Consider the following 23,206-nt stretch of genomic DNA (forward strand, 5'->3'; position numbering starts at 1 on the left):
TTCATGCTCAGACTACAGTCACGTACCATTCTCCAACTATATGAACTGTTCAATTTTAGATGTGTGAACCTCCAGAACTGTGAAATAAACAACCTCAGTCAACATCAAGCAGAATTCAAAGAAGTCTAAAGTCTTAATAATTGTCTGTTCAGTCTGGGAGGAAAGGACTAAAATGGCATGAATCCAGGTAGGCGGAGATTTCCCCCTCCTGCTTGCTACATAGGATAGCACATGAGAATCCATAGTTAGGACTTTAAACAAACAGAGTTACCAGTGAGAAAGGAGGAAGATGTTTTCTGAAGGAGAAAAAAGTGTAGAAGTTTTAGCTCAACTGCTAAATTTGAAATGTTGGCTTACTCATAAGACACAAATGGAAGAGGCTATTTCTTTAAAATCACAGCTGGAAAGAACTTTTTTTTATGCTAGAAAAAATTGACCAAGTTTATGGAAAACAAAACTAAATAGGAATTATTAACAACTTCAACATACCCAGAAGTCTTTTACTGAGTTAGAAAAGAGCATGATAGAGAACAAATGTTATGAGAGAAAAAGACCGCTAACAATGATATTAAATGGGCCCACTTTTCCTCAAAATCTTGCAGTTCTCTGCAGTAGAATACTCACATACATACCCAGTATTCATTGTTATGGATCCTACTTGCTACAGACAGGGTCTTTATCCTCATTCATAATGTTTCTGTCTTGCCGTACTTTAGGGTGCAAGGGTCATAAGGGAGCCTCCTCTGCTCGTGCACACTGGACAGCCTTGTTCCTAGTCTCCCACAGTGCCCTGGCATACCTCTCTCATAGCTCTCCAACCATGATCAGTGGGACTGGGCAATGCCTCAGATTAGACTAGAAGCTCCCTGATAGCAAAGAGCCTGTGTGATTCTTCTCTGTACTCTAAGTTCCTTGCATAGCACATAGCAAAGATAAAGCACTCAAACATATTTGAACTAAAGGGAGAATCAATTTGTTCTACCACAAGTGAAAGGTGAAGTTTACTGTAAATGTGATGACTGTTGAACCAAATCTAAATAGCCTAAGCTGTAATTAACAGCCTTCATTTGGTTTGTAAAATGTTACCTTGATTTCTTTATTGCATAACATTCTCCAAGTTTTCAAAGTTTGGATCAGAAATCTGCACTTGCAGGATTTCTCCTTTCTTCATCTAAAAGTAGAGCACATATTCTTAAATCTTACCCCTCTCAAGTGAGTTCTTTTTCTTCTTGTCCAAATTGTGTGTGGGGTGGGGTGGGGGCACAGCCCGGATTTTCCTTATTTCAGTCAACAGTCTAAATTCAAGGGTCCAGACACTTAACAAATAGCTTCAAAATGTCCTTCACATTTTCTCATAGGTGATCCACCCTACCACATATTGTCTCCTAATGGCCGTCCAGTTTATCCTGGAGCCCTTGCATGACACAGGCCTATCGAAGCATAGGAGGTAAGTATCATGAAGATTCAGGGTCCTGTTACACTGGCGATGTTTTCAGTGTATCAGTGGCATAGGGTGTGTCAGACAATCTCCTATAAGACAAATGACAGATCATTACATCTCACACCTCTTACCCTGAGAAAGAAATGCAGAAGGCAGTGACCTCTGAGTTGATTACTACATGATAATTAAAGGGGAATGAAAGATGGCATTCTTGACCAAGTAAAGAGCATAAGTCAAGGTCTAAAGGTATGAAACAGCCTGATTTCTATAGGGAAGCAAAAGCAATTTGATATAATTAGAGTATAAACTGCAAGGCAAGAAGTGTTGAGAGAGGTGATTAGAAAGACAGAGCTGAAACAACAGGCTTAACCACTGAAGGGTCTTAAGTAGGAGACCCTTTCTTGGTCTTTCCAGAAAGCAGAAACTGAGGCGATGTTTGTGGGCTACAAATTTCCTGAAAATGTTATCACAGAAAATTAGGTGTGAGGGAAAAAGGAAGCAACACAGGGCAGAAGGAAGACTGAAGTGAGGATGCTACTGAGCTATCCAGTACAACTGGTCACTTCGTCTTGCAAGATGGTCTTCTGAGAAATAACAAGAAAAACTGAATCTAAAGATAGCCTGTTCAGAAGAGAAGGGAATAGGAATTTTATCTGCCACTTTTCAATTTCCATTTGTCAGGATTTCACCTCGTTGCGTATCAGGGCTTTATATTTCCTTGGTGTGTCAGGATCAAGTACTCAATAGTGTACCAGGAGCTGTTTCTCAAACAGTGAGAATTTCTGTGACTCAGAAGGTATAGTCTTGCTCCAGAAACTGAGGTATTTGCATTGTTACCCTCCTACTGAGGGTTATCAGTTACTCCACACAGCATTTTTACCTATCAGAAGCATCTCTACTGCCATCAAAACTTCAGGGTCATAGAGTATGTTTGTGTGGAACCTTAGGTCATAGTCTGACTTACTGCAGAAACCTCTCTTGCTGGCTGTCTTCTGAATAAATCAATTGGATTTGCATTAACAAAGGTATTCTTTGCTACCTACAAACTCCAAAGAATTCAACAAATGTTCTACTTTTCCTTATCAGAAGGAGATTTATATTAGAGACTATTAGGGATAGGAAAAAAAGTGTTTCTCCTACTCTCACAAACCACTCAACACCACACTTCTGACACCAGATGTGTGAGGATTATTTCCCCATACACAAAGTACTTCTTCAGCAGACACCAGCTGGGTGTGCTGTAATTCAATTCTGACACTATTTTCCTGTACATAGTGTTAGATCTCACAGATTGAGGATTCAGTTCCACAAGACTCACACCTCCCCACATCAGATACCAACTGCAAGTCCCATGTTGTGACCTGTACTTCTGACAGACCAGCTACAAAATGCAGGCTCTTATGACTCCCTCCTCAGGTTTGAATAATTTGCTAGATCAGCTCATAGAACTCAGGGAAACACTTTACTTACACTTGCACCCACTTATTATAAAGTATATTACAAAGGACTCAGATGAGTATCCAGCCAGTTGTAAGAGAAGCATAAAGCATGGCATATGAGAAGGGGTATGGAGCTTCCATGCCCCCTCCACTGCACCACTCTGCAAGACCCTCCACGTGTTTAACTATCTGAATTCTCCTGAACTCTGCCGTTTTCAGTTTTTATGAAAGCTTCATTACGTAGGCATGACTGACTATATCGTTGTCTATTGGTGATCTCTCAGCCTTCAGCCCTCTCTCTCCCTTCCAGAGATTGGCAGGTGGGGCTAAATGCCTTGGGTTTTCTGGTGGCCATCCCCTACTGTGATGTTTCCTAGGAGCCCTCAGCTACCAGCCACCTCATTAGCATACAAAGACACTCATCACTGGAGATTCTAAGGGTTTTAGGAACTGTGTGCCAGGAAATGGGGATGAAGACCAAATATATATTTCACAATATTACAGAGATGATGTCTTTACATATCTAAGACCACTGAGCCACCAAAACTTCAACTTGTGTGACAGGGCCCTGAATCTTTGTCAAGTTTATCTTCAACTTCTGCCAAGCATGTGTCATATTAGGACCTTAAGATACTTACCACTTTCTACTCACCATGTTCAAATAGCATTCTGCCACTAGTATAGTGGATCTATACGACGTTCTGAGGAATTCAAGATATCTAATGTTCCTGAAAACTATATTTTGACAGAAAGCTGAACAGTAGGTCTGGAGCAAGAGAGTAAATATGTACTATCATCTTTTCTATGTAAAAGTGAACTTCTTTGTCTCCCTATTGATGGGGTTAAAAAAATGCATTTGCCAGATTAACATCTGCAAACCAAGTGTCATTGGCTGTGTTGATCTAGTACCACAGCTGCTTTACTTTTAAATTTATGATAGTCCATTTTCATCCATCACAATACATCCGTTTTGTGTGGTGGCTAGATGAATGACAATATCATAAAGGACCACTACTCAAATCTTTTAAGCCTATTAAGGAAATGCTTCTCTGTATTTCCTCGCAGGATTCAGTTTTTCTTCTGATTATCTATTTTGACTAGGAGCAGAAACTTTCATGTCTTTCAGTTGCCTTTTTATTTTTTTTAAATCATAGGGCCCTTATTCCACCGGTCAGGGCAGTCCTTTCCAGTTTTTAAGTCTATGTATCAAAATTGTATACTTAGGAATTCAGGAATTAACCAAAGGATGAGTTTCAGGACTTGTTGTGCCCATTGTTAGCTTAAATCAAAACTTTAAAATTTATCCTCTATAAGCCCCTTTTCTCACCAGAAGATCACAGTGGCATTCCAGGTCCCTTGGTATCACCTCAGACCCTATAACAGTTGATTAAAAATGTAGATATTGTTCTTTCTTAGTATATAGTTATTATGATACATGATGTTAGGTCAGCAATTTGAGGAAGAAGCAGAATATTCAATGTATATACCTACAATGGTGTTGCAAGATACTTATACAAGGGAACCATGTTTTCCCTTTAATCAGTGAGCACTGGATCCGGAAACTTGCTTAAATTTGGAAAATTAACAAAAGACCGTGGTTTTACACACTAGTGGCTGATACCAGAATTCTGCCAGCTAGTTCTCATTTTTTAAAATTATATGGTTTGATAAAACCTCTGGCCACTGTTCACTATTTGCCTCCAGATTCTGCATAATCCCTTAGCTATGCCACAGATTCCTGTGAGTGAAAGCACCCTTAAGGTCATTCTGGCCTTCATGCTCAATATAGTAATATACATACCTTTCCTCTGACTTTTAAGTGCTACTCCATGGTTTCTGCAATTCCAGAATCCCATGATCTCTATTCATATTAGGCTTCATCTTCCACAGTCAACCTGACTTTACAGGGGTTAGCAATCATGATGTTGTTCAAAGAAGTTAATATCTACCTACTTTCTCCTGTACATTTTTTATGGTCTTAGTGGAGGAAGTGTCCTTACTGCTCAGTAAACTTATCAGGCTGTAGATTTTTCAGTTCTTATATAGTCTATTTACATTAACATTTCTACCTTATTGAGCCTTCTACCCTTTGAGCTTTCTATACCTTAGTCTATACCTTTTATCTTCACTTCATTTACAATAAACCATAATAATGTCGAAGCTTCACAGAGTCATTCTAATAAATTACCTGATAGGTTATGAGTGTTCTTTTCAGAACATTGAACTCTGAGTCACAGGTCAATATTTGCATGAAGAAGTTCTCTTCTATCCATCTTTATAGATCTCTATTCTAATCTAGAATTTTCCAGATTACTCTTAAATGTGTTTCTTGGTCCCTGCTATGACATATTAACCAGGCAAATGCAGAAATCGCCCACCTTACTACCAAAGACAGTTTCCGGACTGTCGTAAATAGCTTTGTAGTCTTATTTAGATAGAGAGATAGGTGGGCTTTTGAGGAGGTCAGTGCATCTAGAATTTGCAGAGCAGAATAACCAAAAGAGAGGAAGGAAGAAAAAGAGAGATAAATCTTCAGAAGGGTCTCCCTTCCTCTGTTTGAGTTTAATAGAAACTATAAAGTCAGAGTTCCAAGAAGCTCCACAAACCCCAAGCAGAAGAAACACAGAAAAACACACCAAGGCATATTATGGTCAAATTGCTGAAAACTACTAATAAAGACAAAACATTAAAAGCAGAAAGGAAGAAAAAGACATGCTACATACATACATATTGTACATTAGCTAAGCAGGATATTCCTACACTCCTGTGCCAATATTTCATTCTCTGCCATTTAAATGATGTTGATCAGATTTTCTCCTTGGATCCTCTACACATGACTACACAAAACAACCCAGACTTGTGTGAAATGATTCATCTGTTCTCAGCAATTAGTGAAGCAAAAATATATCCTGTGGTTAAGAAAATGTGTTTGAGCATAGATCAGCCTTTCTTTATGAATGCCTAGGTAGACAACCCAGTTAGCCAGATCATAAGTTGATCATCAGTGTAATTTTCACCCCATAACATCTATGTCACAGGCTATTAAAAGATCAATGCCAGAATTAACAGTCATCCAAATGCTGACCCTAGCACAAGAAGGCAGTAGAATGAAACAGTTTAAAAGTTAGAACTCTGGAATTGGACTTCCTGGGTTAAAATCATGACTATTGTGTATTAATTTTGAGACCCTGGACAAGTTACAAAGCTCCATTTCCCTATACGTAGATAATGTATAATAAAAGAAAATAATCTTATAAGATTTTTAAGAGGATTCATTGAAGAGAAATGCTATTTCGCTTAGCCCTGTGTCTGCATATACTAAACCCTCCACTAAAAGTTGGGTACACAGCTCGGTGTGGTGGCTCATGCCTGTAATCCCAGCACTTTGGGATGAGATTACAGGCATGAGCCAAGATGAGAGGATCGCTTGAACCAGGAGTTCAAGACCAGCCTAGGCAACATGGTGAAACCCATTTCTACAAAAAATACAAAAAATTAGCCAGTTGTGGTGGCGCATACCTGCTACTGGTGAGGCTGAGATGAGAGGATCACCTGAGCCCTGCAGGTCAAGGCTTCAGTGAGCTGTAATGGCTCCACTGGACTCTAGCCTGAGCAACAGAGTGAGACCTAGTCTCAAAAACAAAAAAAAAGTTAGATAAATGGAGAGGAATGACTACTTTAACCATCATTGTTTAACAAAACTTTGTCTCATGATAATCACAACTTTCACAATATGTTTGTGTTTTTTTAATCTAGAAACCAGTATACTTCCTCTACAGCAGCATTTTAGTAGACAAATGAATAGGTAGCATTTTGCCAGACAAATGAACCTAGGCATGTTCCTATTGCTGGCCGGAGTTGGGTGAGGTAGCCACCTCAGGGAGAGTGTTGGTCTGTAATTAGGAGCTAGGAATACGCATGTGGGGCTTACCCTACCAGTTAATCTTTAGAATGAAATTATTCTTGTCTTTCACCAACTCAGCCCCCTGCTGGGGCATCCTTTGTGTTAAATTAAACAAGTTTTCCTGGTCTAATCCTATTTCTGTAATGTGGGTAATAGAAAGTAGTTAATAAGAGAAGCATGCCTAATTAAAATCAGGTGTTGGGGTCTTTTTGCAATGGTGATACAGGGCGGATACAGTTTAAATGATGTTTAAACCCATATACATAAAAATATTTACAATTAGGAAAAAAAGAGAAAAATAAGGAGAGAAATGCATTGCTTTTTGAGTGCAGTGCTACTGCCTCTAGTTAATGCAACATAGTGAATGTCAAATTCTTGGCAAACTCACCAGACAGGAATGATGCTCCTCCTTAATTCTCCTCCTGTGGGTGAGTAAGGGGTAAAGAGGAAGCTGAGTGTTCACTTATACAGAGTTGTTGGGGGAAAACTCCCAGCTATGGGAAAACTGTGGGGTAGTAAGCAGGGTTGCTCCCCAGCCTCACCCCTGCAGTGATCTTGATAATATTGTTAAATGAAGTAAAGCAGCATATGTATAAAGAATAAACAGTTATAATTTCAATTTTTCATATAAAAGTATATCATTTTTGTATGGTGGAATAATCTTTAATTTCCTATTTTTCAAGGTTTCTATACTGAACATGTAATACTTTACTAATCAGAAAATAAACATTTTTATACTGTTGAAAACAAGTTTTCATGATCTTGCTATATTCTGTATCACATGAACGGAAGGTTTTGAACTTTTAAATATATGGATATGAGGTTAATTGAATATATTTAATATCCAACAGTAAGTAATCATATTGTTGAGAAAAAAGAGAGTCTTTCAAGTTCTTGAATAAATTTTAGACTAAATCAATTAAAATTTAGAAATTTAAAAATATGTGAGGTATATTTAATATAACCTCTAAAGTATATTTTTGAAGTATATGGGAAAATTGCATAATACTCAGAAAAATTAATGTATAAGTTCCTCTTTTAAGTTCCATAGAGTTTGACATTTTACTACTAAATATAAGCCTTTTGAAATACTCAATATTGTAGTTATTAGCTACCTTTCTCCAATAGCTAAGTTGCAGTCCTAACGAACAGTGGAATAAATTAAATAGATAATGTTTTAGGATTTTTTTCACCATATTGTGTTCACTTTTCAGTGTTTTGTCTTTTTTTTTAATAGTGTTCTCTGGAGGGAACATTTTTCTGTGAGGTAATTCTACAAACAAATGTGAGAAAACTACAAGCAGAGTCAGAAGTTGATGAAAGTTAATAGGTTAAAAAAATAAGCTCCACTGCTACTCTTTGTTTTTTGGTACTACCGCTACCATTTAATGAATATCTCCACATCTAAGCCTTGTGCAGTTTGCCTTAATGCATCATTTTATTTAATCCTCACACAACCATATGTAGGTATAAATTAGTATTTCCATTTTAAAAGTGAATAATTTGAGTGTGGAAGAGTTTAAGTAACATAAGAATGACTCTGAGTTAGAATACCTTTCTGAATTCTTCTTTGTTTGTTTTGTCTTATTCACATTGTGTTATTGTTAGATGAGTGATTGTGAATAACTGGTACCTTTAAGAGCAACACTCTCCACTGGAAGAAAGATGTCACATGTTCCAAAGACCCATTAAAGATGCTCAAGGGACCAAGAAGAGGGTTCGACTTAGTAAAGCCACTCCAGTACTTCACTCTTGCTTATATCTCTAAATGTGGCTGCCTCTTCTGGCTCATGTGTATAGACTTAGATAAATAATTAGAAAAGTAACTATTATTTTTAGAGGAATTACCACAACCAGGGTCTGTACTAAGCACCTAAAATTAGATGTTTTTATTTAATTTTCACAACTTAAAGACAGGTACAATGATCACATTTTGCAGATGAATACACTGAATCTCAGGGTGACTAAATGTTTTCATCAAAGTCACAAAGGTGATTAATGACACAGCCAGAATTTGAACCTAGGCTGGCAAGTTGAAACCTTAGGCTCTTGCTAACATACCATATAACATTTTCCCCCTAGTTTCTACTTTCACATGTGACATTTCTTGGTGCCTACTTGTGCGACTGTATCCCTGACTTCTCCCCTACATTTAGTGTGGCCTTATGTCTGCTTCCCAAAAATGTCTTTGTTTACATCAGTTGTCCTGGTCTTCTGTGTGTTTAGACCCACATTCATTCTCAAAAGGGACTAAGTGTAGAGAACGAATTATATGGTCACCTTACCAAAAGCCAATGAAGATATATGCTGGAATTCACCTGATATCTCATTGTGAGCCAGCCCCGCATCTGAGATCCGTCTCTGCTCAGGGCCATTGCAGTTTCTCTGACACATAGGAAAACAAGTAATTCTGGTCATACAGAGACTATATGACTAAGAAATTCAGCATCTGGAAACCAGATTTTTAATAACAATGAAGGTGAGAATATTATTCATATTACCAACCTCCTCCAGAAAATACCTCGGAAGTGTGCTCAAGGTTGCCGTGGCAATCAGGACCTTATTAAAAGTTAGTTTAAAGATTATTAACTGAAAGTATTATAAGTTAAAATTGTTTAAGGTTGAAATAGATGCGTCAGAGATTTTTTTAAGAGCATCTCTGAAACTGTGCCTTGAAAAACAGTATAAACAGCTAAGTTGAGTTGTAACAACTGACAAACAGAAAATATTCTGGTATCCTGATTACATTCTTCTATTAGTACACTGTAACAGTTTCTCTAGAAATACACCGTTCTCAGTTCTTTCAAAATATTTTCTTTCTTCAAGAGCCCCTTACTGATAGTTTTGAATCTTGATGATCTGTTAAGACTATTATTTATCAGTGGCCTATAGTCATATCCATGATGTCCAAGGAGGAGACAGGAGCTGTTTGGTCCATCCTGAAATTACAGCTGATACTAGAAATAATGTAAGCCAAGTGAATGCTTATTTTATGTAAGACTACAGATGCTTAGATTCATTGCAAATTTTACTGAGTAGCTAAAACATGTAATAATGTTCAAGAAAATGTAAGTACTGTATTTAGAATTGATACAAGTTGCAAAGACGCCTTTAAGAACATCTGATTTCCTAAGTAATCTTTTCATTTAACAAATTTCATGGTATATAGATTTGAGAAAACCAGATGCTCAGAAATATGCTGAAATTGAGTATTATAACTTTAAGTGCCACAAAATGGAGTCAAGCTTCCAAACCTTCCCTCTGCCTGCTCTGCCGTGTGTTTTTCCTGCATATACCAGTAAAAGGTCCTGATATTTTCTTTTTAATTGCTATACTTCCGCAGTCCTAGGAATTTGGGGATCAGTTTGGGATGAAGAATCATGCCAGGAAGATAAATTACATTCATATGTCAGATATTGCCTCACAATGCTATCTAGCTCAGTAGGCTATAAGGAGCCCCCACTCACCAGGCCAGGCTCCAGCCAAAAAATAAATAAATATATAAATAAAAGAACACCTACTGTTTCTCCATCAAGGGCAACTCTCTCAGAGGGCAAACAAAAGCAACAGAGGGAGGCCAACCATATCCATGCAGTACTATGGGTTGCTATGCAACCCTCCGTGCAAGTTGGGCAGCAACAGATGGACACTTTGAATAGAATTAATGCCCCTCTGACCCATGTTTTAAATAGTACCCAAACCTACTGCCTGATGAATTCTATTAACTATAGGCATACTTACACATATAAAATATGGCATCATAACTGACATTGTTATTACCCTCTTTACTAAAATAAAGTCATAAATCCATTGCAAAATTTGAGACCGATAATATTCAATGAGATATTTCTATTTTTTTCCTTTTTTCATGATAAATGAATCACTGATGTCTCATAACCTTGGGCTACATATTTCCTTATAGTGTTGCTCTGGTTTTATATGCAAAAGTGCAATGCCTGCTCTGAGTTTCAGCTTCAGTTTTACACTGAGTCCAGCTTCTTCCTCAATCATTCTCACGTGTGGGCTCTGGGTATTGTGTAAGAGACCTCTTTTTATTGTAACTTTAAGAAAGAACATAACATAGAATAAATATTTTATAGATCTTTGTGGGGACAATGTTGTAACTTTATTCCTGATTGAACAATCAATCTAAAGGCTATACCCGAAGCCCCAAAAGTTCTTTGTCCATCTGCCTTCTGCCTCAGCCAAGTTTAAGCTACTTTTCATCCCTTGTAGTGAGTAGATATCAAAAGAAATCAGTATGCCCTCAAGATTATTAGGATAAGATCCACTCTCTGGTCGCTTAAATTTTATATACTAGGTAACTTAGGTTGTTAGAACCTAAAAGAGAGGGATATCAATGCTAAAAAAAATCTAGGAGTACACAATCTCATATTGGTGGCAACAAGCAGTTTTTAATTTTTAATGGAGCATATGTATGATAAGATATCTTAATAAAGTGGTAAGATAAGATATCTTAATAAAGATCACAGAGCATTGACTTAGAGGAAAGAAACTGGAGAAAGGGCTCTGGAAAGTTTCTTTTCTTGATATCAGTGTCCTTACCTGTAAAGTAAAGTAAAGAGGTTTTGGCCAGATAATTCCTTTAGCCAAAAGTTAAAGGTTCCAACTTTTCCATTCTCTGAAAGATCAAAGACGTCATTAAAATAAAATGAGTGGGAATTTCATTTCTATCAGAGGATAAAGATGGGGATAATATCAAAGCTCAATATCCACATCTAATTACAAAATCCTTCTGTTCTGATGATGGAAAATACAGAAGAAATGGGAAGCCCTTGGACTCTAGGACCTAGAATATTCAGCGGGGCTCCTGTCTCCAGTCTGTGCTTCCATTCCTTGGAGATGCTCATACCCAGGGGAAGAGAGGTGCTTGCCCATTGATTATGTGACTTTTGCAAAATTTTCTATCCCACTCCGTATTCTCTTGCTAGAACCGTCCTTCTGTGGAGGAGGCAACAGCACGTGTGCCTCCAGTTTTGAAAGTGGTGCTGCTTCTCTGTCAGGCCTCCTCCTGCTGCCCAGTATGTCTTCGTTTTGAAAATATGAGCTCAGTTTTCCATGACTGGGCACACAGGCTTGCAGTCTTCTTGCTAGGAGTCATTACTTATATATGCCTGCACGTACAGATATGCTTACATACGGACTCACGCAAAATATTTGCTTGTTTTTGTTTGTTTGTGCTCCCACCTCCCTTGAAGGCCCTGGAGGTGGGAAGCGTGGCATCTTAAATTATTTTGTCATCTCTGGCAAGATTTAGTGTTAATGACTTTATGATGTCTTACCACTTCACTACCACCTGAAATAATCACGTAGAAGCAATTCAGTTCAGTAGCTACTTCCTGTCTTTGTAGTCCCATGTACTTTCTGATGAGACAAGAGATTTGATTTAGTCCTACATTTATTCTGGTAATTATCATACTGTGTCCCATTGAAGTCTCAAGTTACATATCTTTTGAGAACTGTAACTCCCTATTATTTCACTATATAATGTTTTCAATTCTATTACACTTAATACACGTATTTCAAAAATAATCTTATTTTATTTTAGAGACTATGACATGTTCAATAGGTTATAAATAATAAAAAACATGACTATTAGAAATAAATGAGTATCAATAGATGAAATGTGTTTGGATGCTGTAACCCCATATGTATTTTGTTTAAATCCACAGTGATTGACTCTGTTTCTAAGACCATAGGTTCCAAATTTTGAAATGTCCTACCCTAACTGAGGTAGAATTATTTGCAATTTATTTTGATGAAAAAATTACTACCATAATTACTACTGTAATTTTTTTGAATAATTACTACTGTATAAATTCTTAGCGATGTAAGAGCCCTTTGGATTCTTCTAGGCCAATTACTTCTTTTCACAAGTGACAGAATGGAATCCACAGTAGGTAGATTTAGGTATTTTAGCCCAGTTTTTTTTTTTTAATATTGTCGTAGGGTTTTCCAAAGGTACCTAATTCCCTTTTTCTCCCCACCATTCTGGGAAAGTATCATTAGCAACTATACATAAAAATGTAACTTTGCTTTAAAATAACTAATCATTATATCTAAATTTCTATGTTAAATTTCTTCAAATTTCTCTTAGCTATTGTTTCAAAATGCACACATTCGTAGATAAAATTCCACTGCAGGGAAAAGTATTCACAAGTAAACATCATCAGTAAAGAATTAAATTTCTTGTGTTAGCTTTTTTTCAATCGTATTGAATCTTCAATGTTTAAAAACTAGTTTGAAATGTTCATCAAATCCACTGAACTGCTGAATTTTCACATTTTTTATAATTTGCATTGATTTATGGATGGTTCTACTTGCTAGAGACTCTGGGTAAGCACAATGAATTTTAAGGATGCTTCTAACGTTTAGAGATTCACCATCAGAACATCATGTAAGGTACAAACCCACATATATAAACCTTCATGGCTTGTAATGAAACCTTGTCCCATGACTTGTCTGAGAGAACAGTTATTTCACTTTTGATGAGAAGAAAAATTTGCAAGTTCAAATGCTTCTGGGGTTTTCTGGACTCCCTCTGGGACTTTCTGTGCTCTCTAGCGCTCTAGGCTCTCTCAGCCACATCTTAAATACTCAGATTTCCCCAGAGCAAGATTCACAAGACAATTTTTTTTTTGGTCAACTTAATTGTTATGTGATGTGATTTAGTTTCTCTGTCCAGAGACTTCGAATTCCTTAGGAAGTTTTTTACCTTACACTTTACCCAGGAGAAGTCTTTCAATATGTACATTGATTGAAAAAGAGGAAAATTCTATATGTGGTTCATTATTGTTCTTTAAACCAATATAAGAGAAGGGAACATAGCTTAAACATGTTATTAACATCTAAGGTACAAAAATGTCTATTGAAAATGCTATTAAACAAATTTAAAGATCAGGGCCTTCAGAATGTTTTAATTTGAAACAATTCTTTTTCTTAAAGACTTTTACAACCAGGCATCTATTTTAGCTGCTTTATCTGCAGCCTGGTCCAGAGAGGTAAACTGGATTTAATGGGAATTTTAGTTGTTTTGTTTTTTTCTTTCTACAACCTGTTGGTTTCATCTGCGCTAAACTCAGCTCCTACTTATTGTTGAGGGGAATTGAGCTATTGAAGAGTGGCAGCACTTGCTCCTACATGGGTCAGTGGTGTGCTTCCAGTGTTTCTGTGCTGCACAACAGATTATGAGCGTCACTAATAACCAAGCTCTTGATTCAATTCAAAGGCTTCCTGTCGTTTATCCAGCAGAGAAGTACAACTAAAGCTGGAAGTGATTGGAAATTGTCTAGTTTTTGTCATTTAAAAGAAGAAAGGAATTATAAGAAAATAGTAAAGTGTCCAGCTTTATCTTTAAAAATTTGTATATGCCAATGCCTGTATTTTATGAAATTCAATTTCTTTAGTATTATACATATGCATATATAGGTAATGATCTAACTTAGCATGTGTCTTTTAACACATTGTTTAGCTACAGTTTTTGACAATATCAGTTTCCACCTTCTGTTTCAGAAGCTCCTTCCTTTCTGGTTCCTAAGAAACATTTGCCTTTCTTAAAATCTGTGTGTTTCAGTGTATTTTCTATACAATCCACACTAGTTGTAAGACATGCTTTGCAATAAAAGAGTGGGTTTCCAAAGTCAGACAAGTTTAGGAAACATTTCATACTACATTCCACCTCTCAAAGATTTGCATATTAGTATACTAAAACCTTGGAGAGGTCCTACAGTGACATTGTCTATTTATCTTATTATTTAATCCAGTATCCTAGATAATGTTCCTCTTTTTTTATGCAGTACAACCTGTTGCGTATTATTGCATGGAGCTTCAGGAATCGCATTTTGGGAAGACAGCATAGTGTTGTATCGTAACTTTAATATAATTCAGTGGTTCTCAAAATGTGGAGTCTGGGCCATCAATACCTGAGAACTTATTAGAAATGTAAATTCTCAGCCCTCCTCCCCTGACCACAGACCTTGAATCAGAAACTCATTAGGTAGGTAGGGTTCTGGCAATCTGTGTTTATAATCAAACTCCAGATGTTTCTGACATGTGCTAATTTCACTGGTCTAATTCCACTAGCTTCACTTTATTCATCTAATTTTTTGATTGAGTGGAATAAGTGGGTGACAGAAAAGTAAACTTTAAAACTGGGTAGTTGTACTACTTAGGATGTAAGACTGCCTTAATTGTCAAGGGTTGCTGCCATGACTAAAATTAAATTAGGCAAAACATGGAATATATTGGCTCTTATAATGAAACTGCTGGAACAACAGTCATGAAACAGCAACCCAGGCATCAGAGACTTGAATGTTATCAATCCCTTCTCTACTTCTCATTTTTCCTTTACCCCTGCGTAACAGCTTCGTCTCAGTGGGAAGGAGGTTCTATGACTGGTCCATCTTGGTCAGGTGCTCACCCTAGACCAATCTCTGTGCTGGGGCTGTGTGATTAAAATCCAGAAATGAAGAGGAATGTTGTGGAATAGAAGAGAGAGAAACACAGATGTGACCACTGAGGAAATAACAGTTTGCATTTTCTAAAATTATTTTTTGCTTTAGGAGATCGTCCCTTCTAGGCTGTTAGAAAAATGAACCACTCATATTTGGACAAAAAATTTGTTTTATGAAATTTGCCTTCAACTGAAGAAAAAAGGTAATGTCAAAGGAGCAAGGAATAGGGTAGGCTTAATACCACCAGTTCCCTTTTTGGAGTCAATTACCTCTAGGGTTTCTATAGTTTACGCTTCAAGGAGAGCTACGGTTAAATACCTACATTTGCTAGCAGAACTTTTTTTTTTAATTTTAACTTTTTTGTAATGCCATGTTGTTTATTAGGCTGGAAACATTTTTCACCATTTATGATTACTTATAATGAATGAGACAGACACTATATATGCATAGTTGCATACATGCAACTCCAATAGCTAACCTGGTTAAAAATAAAAAGTGAAAAATGAATTTTTGTTAACGTATCTCATTTTGACAACTTACATTATACAATACTCTTTTGCATGAATTAGCACTTTAAAGCAGATATCTTCTAGACAATCTCAGAAAAATATTTTGGATAGATTGGCAGGAAACACTTAAACATTTAGCATTTCTAAATCTCAAAATCTTTGGAAAATTTCCAATTATAATATAAAATTAGGATGGACTACAGTATGGTATGGAAACATCTCAGAAATTTCAATAGTTTAAAGCAACGAAGATGTAGTTCTTGTACATTCTGTGTCCACAAAAGCTGTGCAGAAAACCTGCTCATTGTGTCTCTGAGAGACATAGTGCCAGCACAAATTTAAAAGGAATTTTAGTACTTGGTAAAAAGCTACAAGAAGAGTTTTATTTTTTTTAATTAATGAAACATTTATTAATCCAAGCATTGGGGTTAGAAATACACAATCTTTCTCACAACAAATCCTCATTTTAACATGTGAAATAGGTATATAAACAAGTTATTTTAAGGCAAACACATTGAGAAGATTGCAAAATGCCCTCAAGGAACCACTAATTTTGCTTTAGGTGAAATCCTATTATCTATAGACTTTTCTCTTCTTCATGGTTGTGGGAGTTGGGGAGAACTATATAGATATTAAGCAGGTACTAAACATTTCATACACGTATGTCCTCTTGGTGATGCACATTTACCCCTCCTCTCCCATTTCAAATAGGAAAATAAAAGGTAATATGTTTTTAAATCATTACCGAATATTGACAGCCATAACAATTTTCAACAGAATTTTTTTTTTTTTTGAGACAGAGTCTCCCTCTGTCACCCAGGCTGGAGTGCAATGGCGCGATCTCGGGGCTCACTGCACCCTCCGCCTCCCGGGTTCAAGCAATTCTCTTGCCTCAGCCTCCCGAGTAGCTGGGACTACAGGCACTCACCAACATGCCCAGCTAGTTTTTGTATTTTTAGTAGAGATGGGATTTCACCATTTTGGCAGGATGGTCTCTATCTCTTGACCTCATGATCCACCCACCTTGGCCTCCCAAAGTGCTGGGATTACAGGCGTTCCAACAGAATTTTTTTGTGGCCCTGTAGAAAAGGAATATGTTGAAAAGTTTTCTTCAACAGAATTTTCAAAAAAAACTTTTCAACATATTCCTTTTCTAACAGGGCCACACTTAATTGAGCACATGTGTTTCAGATAAATTACAGGCATTATTGCCAATTCTCACAAAAAGTATTATATAATACCTCCTATCTTTAATATAGGAAACTGAAGCTCTGAAAGGTCTAAAATATATGTAGTAGGCTGTAATCTCCATGTAGACTAATGTTTATTATGTGTGTAGTAGATGTACATAATAAACAATAGGCAATTTATGTATATAGTAGTCTGTAAATTTCATGAGGGCAGGAACTGTGATTGTCATTCATTGAGTCCTCAGCACCTAATAAGGTGCCTGGCGCACAGTAGGTTATCAAAAATATAGATTGAATGAATGGATTAAATAATGAATGGATAGATGTGAGGGAACTGGAATTAGATCAAACTCTGCATGACTCTAAAACCTGAACTTAATGCAGCTTTGTGCTACCTTCAAAGGCTTCCTGTCATCTGTTAAAGAATGTCTGAAAAATGTGTCAATGCAAGCCTTCCACCACCTTGTTCCAGTCTTTCCAGTATTGTCTTCTACTACATCTTGTGATATCCTCTTTTTCTTTCTTTTTTTGAGACAGACTCTCACTGTGTTCTCCAGGCTGGTCTCAAACACCTGGGCTCAAGGTATCTTCCCGCCTCACCCTTCCCAGTAGCTGGAATTACAGGTGTGCACCACTGTGCCCAGCTATGATGTACATTTTGACCAAGGCCAGGATATTCGAGTCTGTTAAACTTTGCCGCGCAAATTTCTGTCTCTTAAGTTGAACTTCATTCACATCTAAAATGTGCTCTCTTGTTCTCATCTACTACTTGTATTTCTCCACTGGGCCTAATACTGCCACCTAGGAAGTTATTTGGAAATATGTAGGGCAATTTTGTATCTTAAGTGAATAAGATTCATATAAAGAGGAGTCCAGGGATTCTAAATATCTTGCAATGTATGGATGGGGCCATCCTGCATAATAAAGAATTATGTGAAGAATTATGTTCTTTTTGTTTGTTTGTTTTTCAAGATGGGGTCTTGCTCTGTTGCCCAGGCTGGAGTGCACTGGTGCGATCTTGGCTCAGTGCAAGCTCCGTCTCCCAGGTTCAAGCAAAGGAATTATGTTCTTATACCCAAAAGCCAATAACCTAAAAAACTTTGATAAACAGTATGTGTCTAACTCAGTCCAGAGTCAGCACAATGCAGTCATGATTAGCATTAGAGCCAACCGATGCTTAATCCCAGCTATGTCACTTACTAATTATACTATTTTGAGTCATTTAGATGCATATAACTTCAGTTTTCTCATCTGTAAAATGTGTTTAATAATGTATTTCAGCAATGAGGTGGGAAGTAGAGATGAGAAATAAAAAACTCTAGCACATAGTTGGTTTTTAAAATAAGAGCTATTCTTAACACACCCTTGAAACCAACATCAAGCCCCAACCTCCTTGAAACCATGCTATTCCAGCTGAGAATATCCTTTCCTTCTTCTCAACCACTGTGTTTTAGTCAGGGGTCTTTTAGTTGCAAGAAAAAGGAACTAGTTCAAGTTGTCTCAGGGAGAAAAAAGAAAGTTTATTGGCAAGGTACTGCATCAGTTAGGATTCTTTGTGTTGTAAGTGACAAAGTAAAACTGACTTAATAGAGAGATGTATTACTTCACATAATTTTTAGAAAACTATAAAATCCACAATGACAATTCATGTATATAGTAAATACAAGCTCTGTGAGTGCAGTGGTTCTGTTTGTCTTATTTATAGTTGGTTTTGTTCTCACATTCCATATGGTAAAGTCCTGGCAAATCCAGACTTTCCTCTCATAGTATTAACAAAGCCTGCTACAGTATCGGATCACTTATCTATACACCAACTATCCCTGGGGAAGAGAATGAGCGCTTCTAGCAGAGCCCAAGGAAGAAATAACTTTTCTCTCTCAGAAACTTTTATCTCATGGGCTTTAGGAAAAATTACAGATCCATTTCTAAACCAACCGCAGAGGTTGGGGTAGGAAGTGAAATTATTTGAAAAAGCAAACAAACAAAAATTTGCTTAAGCTCATTAGAACCCAGCCATTAATTTGAGAGGTAAATCGACCCTCTCTCCTCCAAATAACTGACAATGGAAGAGGAGTGGCTTCTTAAAAGATAGGAGAATTGTTAGCAAGCATGGGAAAGAGGTGGAATCATGTGGTACAAAACATGACCGCTATAGTGGTAATAGAGATCATGGCTTAGATTTTTCCCAAGAAAATAAAATAAGTCTAGAGAATAAGTAGGCAGGCAACTGCAAAAAATTAATTGGGTAATGCCCTAACATGTACCAAGCCCTACTTTCAGCTCTGAGGCTTCAACTATGAATAAAATGACTATCTTCCCCACCATATGAGAGTTAGTCTTCTGGTAGATAAGATAGTCAAACCTAAAGGTGATTCAGACTTCAAAGCTTCCTTCCTATGAACAGTTTACTTGTTTGCAGGTCAGTTTACTTAGAATTTCAAAGAGAATACAACCAACCACATGTAATCATGTGTAAATGGTGGGCAAACCTGCTATACTTTTGTTTTTACCATGTAACATTTTTTTTTGCAATTATGATATAGTGTAGTGGCTTTTTTTTAATTTTGTTTTTTGTTTTGCAAATGAAAATTTTCAAATGGGTGGTAAAGTAGAGACTTAGTAGTACTGAAAAATAATGTCAGTAGAGAGTTGGATACCTAATCGATGTCTTGATCAAAGCTTCAGGAAGCTTGGGAAATTAGCAGCCTCCATTTAATAGAAGGGTAGATGAGTGGTGATCTTAGACATAAGCAGCTCTGTGAAAGCAAGGAGGGTGAAGATATTGAGAGGTTTGCTTGCCATATTTGAAGTCTTATATTAGTCATTATTTTCAACAACTCTTACCACGTAGCCAAACAAGGGAGTTCATATTAAATATTTTGGATGTTTATGTTTTATTTCTTCAAGTAGGTTGTATTATTCTTGCATTTTTTCACCTTATCTTGTGCACTTAGTTAGCACACTGGTGATACCTAGTGTACTTAGTAGTCACTAGTCATTGGGTTAATTAACTGAAATAAAAGGGTAGGGGTAAATTTTTGAAACAGATATAATAATTATCATTAACTCCCAAACTCTTATTTTGCCCCTCTGGATCCCTGGAAAAGAAGTTAAATCATAAGATTGTGCAGATTCTAACCCTACTGGGGGCACTTAGAAGGAAATAATTTATCAAGTGATAAGGAGCAGTAATAAAAATTCATTCTCAAATAAATTATTGTGATAAGCAGTGAGGTTTTTTTAGTTATTAAAGAACTTGCTTGCAGGAAGCTGAAAATTCACACTGTGGTCCGGGTCGCAACTAGCTCTTCATTATGACACAAATGATCTCATGAAGAAACCTATTGGTGATAAAACACAGTGTGGATAGCACTCGCCTTAGAAGCAAAGGTGAGTAGCTTCTCAAAAGATAGGTAGGAAAATTCCTATTGAAGAAGCTATTGGCTGGGCGCAGTGGCTCACGCCTGTAATCCTAGCACTTTGGGGGCCGAGGCGGGTGCATCACAAGGTCAGGAGATCGAGACCATCCTGGCTAACATGGTGAAACCCCGTCTCTACTAAAAAATAAAAATAAAAAATAGCCGGGCGTGGTGACGGGCGCCTGTAGTCCCAGCTACTCGGAAGGCTGAGGCAGGAGAATGGCGTGAACCCGGGAGGCGGAGTTTGCAGTGAGCCGAGATCACGCCACTGCACTCCAGCCTGGGCGACAGAGTGAGACTCCATCTCAAAAAAAAAAAAAAAAAAAAAAAAGCCATTGGCAGAGCTTCTTAAACAGGAACCCATAGATGTCTTTGTAAATTCTGTGAAATGCCTTCATCCACACCCCCAGCAACGGGATGCAAGTTTCTACATGTGTGACAAATCTTATCTTTCTGGGGAAAGAATTCACAACTTTCCCCCAATTTTAAAGGTAGCTGAACCTAGATGAAAGATGTAGACCCATGATTCTATAGTTATTGTAGGGAAAATATGTGAGCAATAAAAACAAAGCCTTTGGCATGCCATGGTAAGATTGGCCCTATAGTACTTTGCTGTTACCCATTAGACAATGTGTGCCTCGTGGAGTTTTGGTGACAGATGTCTTGCAATGCAAATCTGAAGTATTATGTTCCTGAATTTAGCCAATGGGAACTCTGTTTTTGTAGTCAATCAAGTGTGGCTATACTTGTGTCACACTTGAGTTCATTCCTGTTTGTATCTCATATCCAATCAGTCAGAGAATTCTGTTCAACCACTGCTCTTTCTTTCCAAGGCTATCTCTATTGTCCAAGCCACTGTCATATCTTGCCAGGATTATTGCAATAGTCTTTTAATTGGTCTCCCTGCTTCTGCCTCTGCACATTTCCATCTACTCCCAACACAGCAGTTGCAGAGCTCCTGTCAAGCTAAAGTCAAATTATATATTTCCTGTGTTCAATACTTTCTAATGCCTTCCAGTTTTATTCAGAATAAAAGCCCAGGTATGTTCTCGACTTATAAGGCCCTACATGATGTGGCTACCTGTCATCCATCTGAACTCATCTTCTGCTATTCTCTCACTCACTTGTTTCCAGACTCATTTGTTTCTCTATTGTCCCATAAATGTATCAAGCTGGCTCCTGTTTCAGAGAGCTTGCTTTGGTCTTCCCTCTTCCTGGAATGTGTTTCAACTAGCTCTCCTCACAATTTGCTCTCTCACTTTAGATTTTTATTTAAAAGTGCCCTTTACTGGCCTGGCTACCCTAATGAAAATCTCAATCTCACCTGCCTTAGTGACTTCACTTTTCTCATCTGAAGTATAACACATGTATTTACTTTATTTATTGTCTTCCCCACTAGAATTTAAGTTCCACAAAGGCCAGGATTTTTGTCGGTTGTATGTGCTGCTATAAACCCCGAGAGTCAGACAGCACCTGATACAGTGTAGGCAAGAAACACTTGCAGGACATGTGGGAACTGCATAGCTGGGTACCCTATATGTCACCCAGCTCTCAAGTGCTGTGCCTCGGAAGAAAGAGGGGCATCCCATCCTCCTTATTAGTTCTAGATTTTTTTTTTTTTTGAGATGGAGTCTCGCTCTGTCCCCCAGGCTGGAGTGCAGTGGCACGATCTCGGCTCACTGCAAGCTCCACCTCCCAGGTTCATGCCATTCTCCTGCCTCAGCCTCCTGAGTAGCTGGGACTACAGGCGCCAGCCACCGTGCCAGGCTAAGTTTTTTTTTTTTTTTTTTAGTAGAGATGGGGTTTCACCGTGTTAGCCAGGATGGTCTTGATCTCCTGACCTTGTGATGCGCCCGCCTGAGCCTCCCAGACTGCTGGGATTACAGGCGTGAGCCACCGTGCCTGGCCTAGTTCTAGATCTTGATCTCAAAACGTTTATGCTCTATTTGAAATAAAATATTTGCATTTTAATTGAGAGACAGAAGTAAGTAATTAAATATATATATATATAGTTTTGGCATCAGATGGATCTACACTCAACCCCTGGCTTGGCTATTTATACATTTGTAAAATATTGATGATAATATGTACCTTCCATGATTCTTGTGAGGATGCAAACACTTGGCATATATCAAGTTTAATAAATGGTGGACTTCTCACTGCAGTGATAAAAGATAAGATGTAAGGCAAAGATTGACAGTTGGGACACCACCATTTTCTTATGACTAGCTAAAAGGGTCTACACCATGAAGTCAACCGTAAGGTAATACTTCATTTTTTTTTTTTTTGCCCCAGATAGTAACACTCTGCTATTGTTTAGTGATTTTAGTGATTTTATACTAATTTAAATGCTTTTTTGTCTCGTCACACATTCATTTTTTAAAGTGATTTAGAGCTGATTTCTATAGCAGGCTTTAATTGTCATTTTATAATTCAGGAAGCATGACCTTTGACTCTGGCAATTTTGTTTATGATGTCAAATAATGAACTACAGTAATAAGATTCTCTTGTGGTCAAATTATTCCATTCTCATTAAATTATATAAACATATATTTTCTGAAGAGCTATAATCAGGTGTACTATTCTTGCATTGATTTGATCAGCATATTGACATCTTTTACCTGAAAAGTCTCCTTTGGGAATATTTGATGAGTATTTATTGGAATTTTCTTCAATAGATGGTGAAAGTACAAGATTCAGCAAATTTCATTCCCCTATTTTAGGTTAACAAAGACAAAGGACGTGTGATTATTTGGGACTTTAATTTCTTTAATTAAAATATGATTGTTTGCATTATTTAAGTAACTTTGTTAGGTAATTAAATTAATAA

General features: G+C 37.3%; 1 long non-coding RNA gene across 1 annotated transcript in view, besides 1 other annotated feature; it reads left to right on the forward strand.

Moving 5' to 3' along the window:
* OBI1-AS1 (OBI1 antisense RNA 1) overlaps positions 1 to 23,206 on the forward strand; it is a 562,471-nt gene that overhangs the window by 133,395 nt on the left and 405,870 nt on the right. The window contains exon 2 of the long non-coding RNA NR_047001.1: positions 1,359 to 1,447. This is a non-coding gene — a long non-coding RNA (OBI1 antisense RNA 1). The remainder of the gene's footprint in view (positions 1 to 1,358; positions 1,448 to 23,206) is intronic.
* Positions 13,269 to 13,338: an enhancer, noted in NCBI's record as "active region_7847". NCBI's record gives its function as "activates an Ori minimal core promoter by ATAC-STARR-seq in GM12878 lymphoblastoid cells {active_cell/tissue: GM12878}" and the evidence as "EXISTENCE:reporter gene assay evidence [ECO:0000049][PMID:35858748]".

The sequence above is a fragment of the Homo sapiens genome, chromosome 13 (genome assembly GCF_000001405.40).
Source record: "Homo sapiens chromosome 13, GRCh38.p14 Primary Assembly".
NCBI classification, from domain to species: Eukaryota; Metazoa; Chordata; class Mammalia; order Primates; family Hominidae; genus Homo; species Homo sapiens.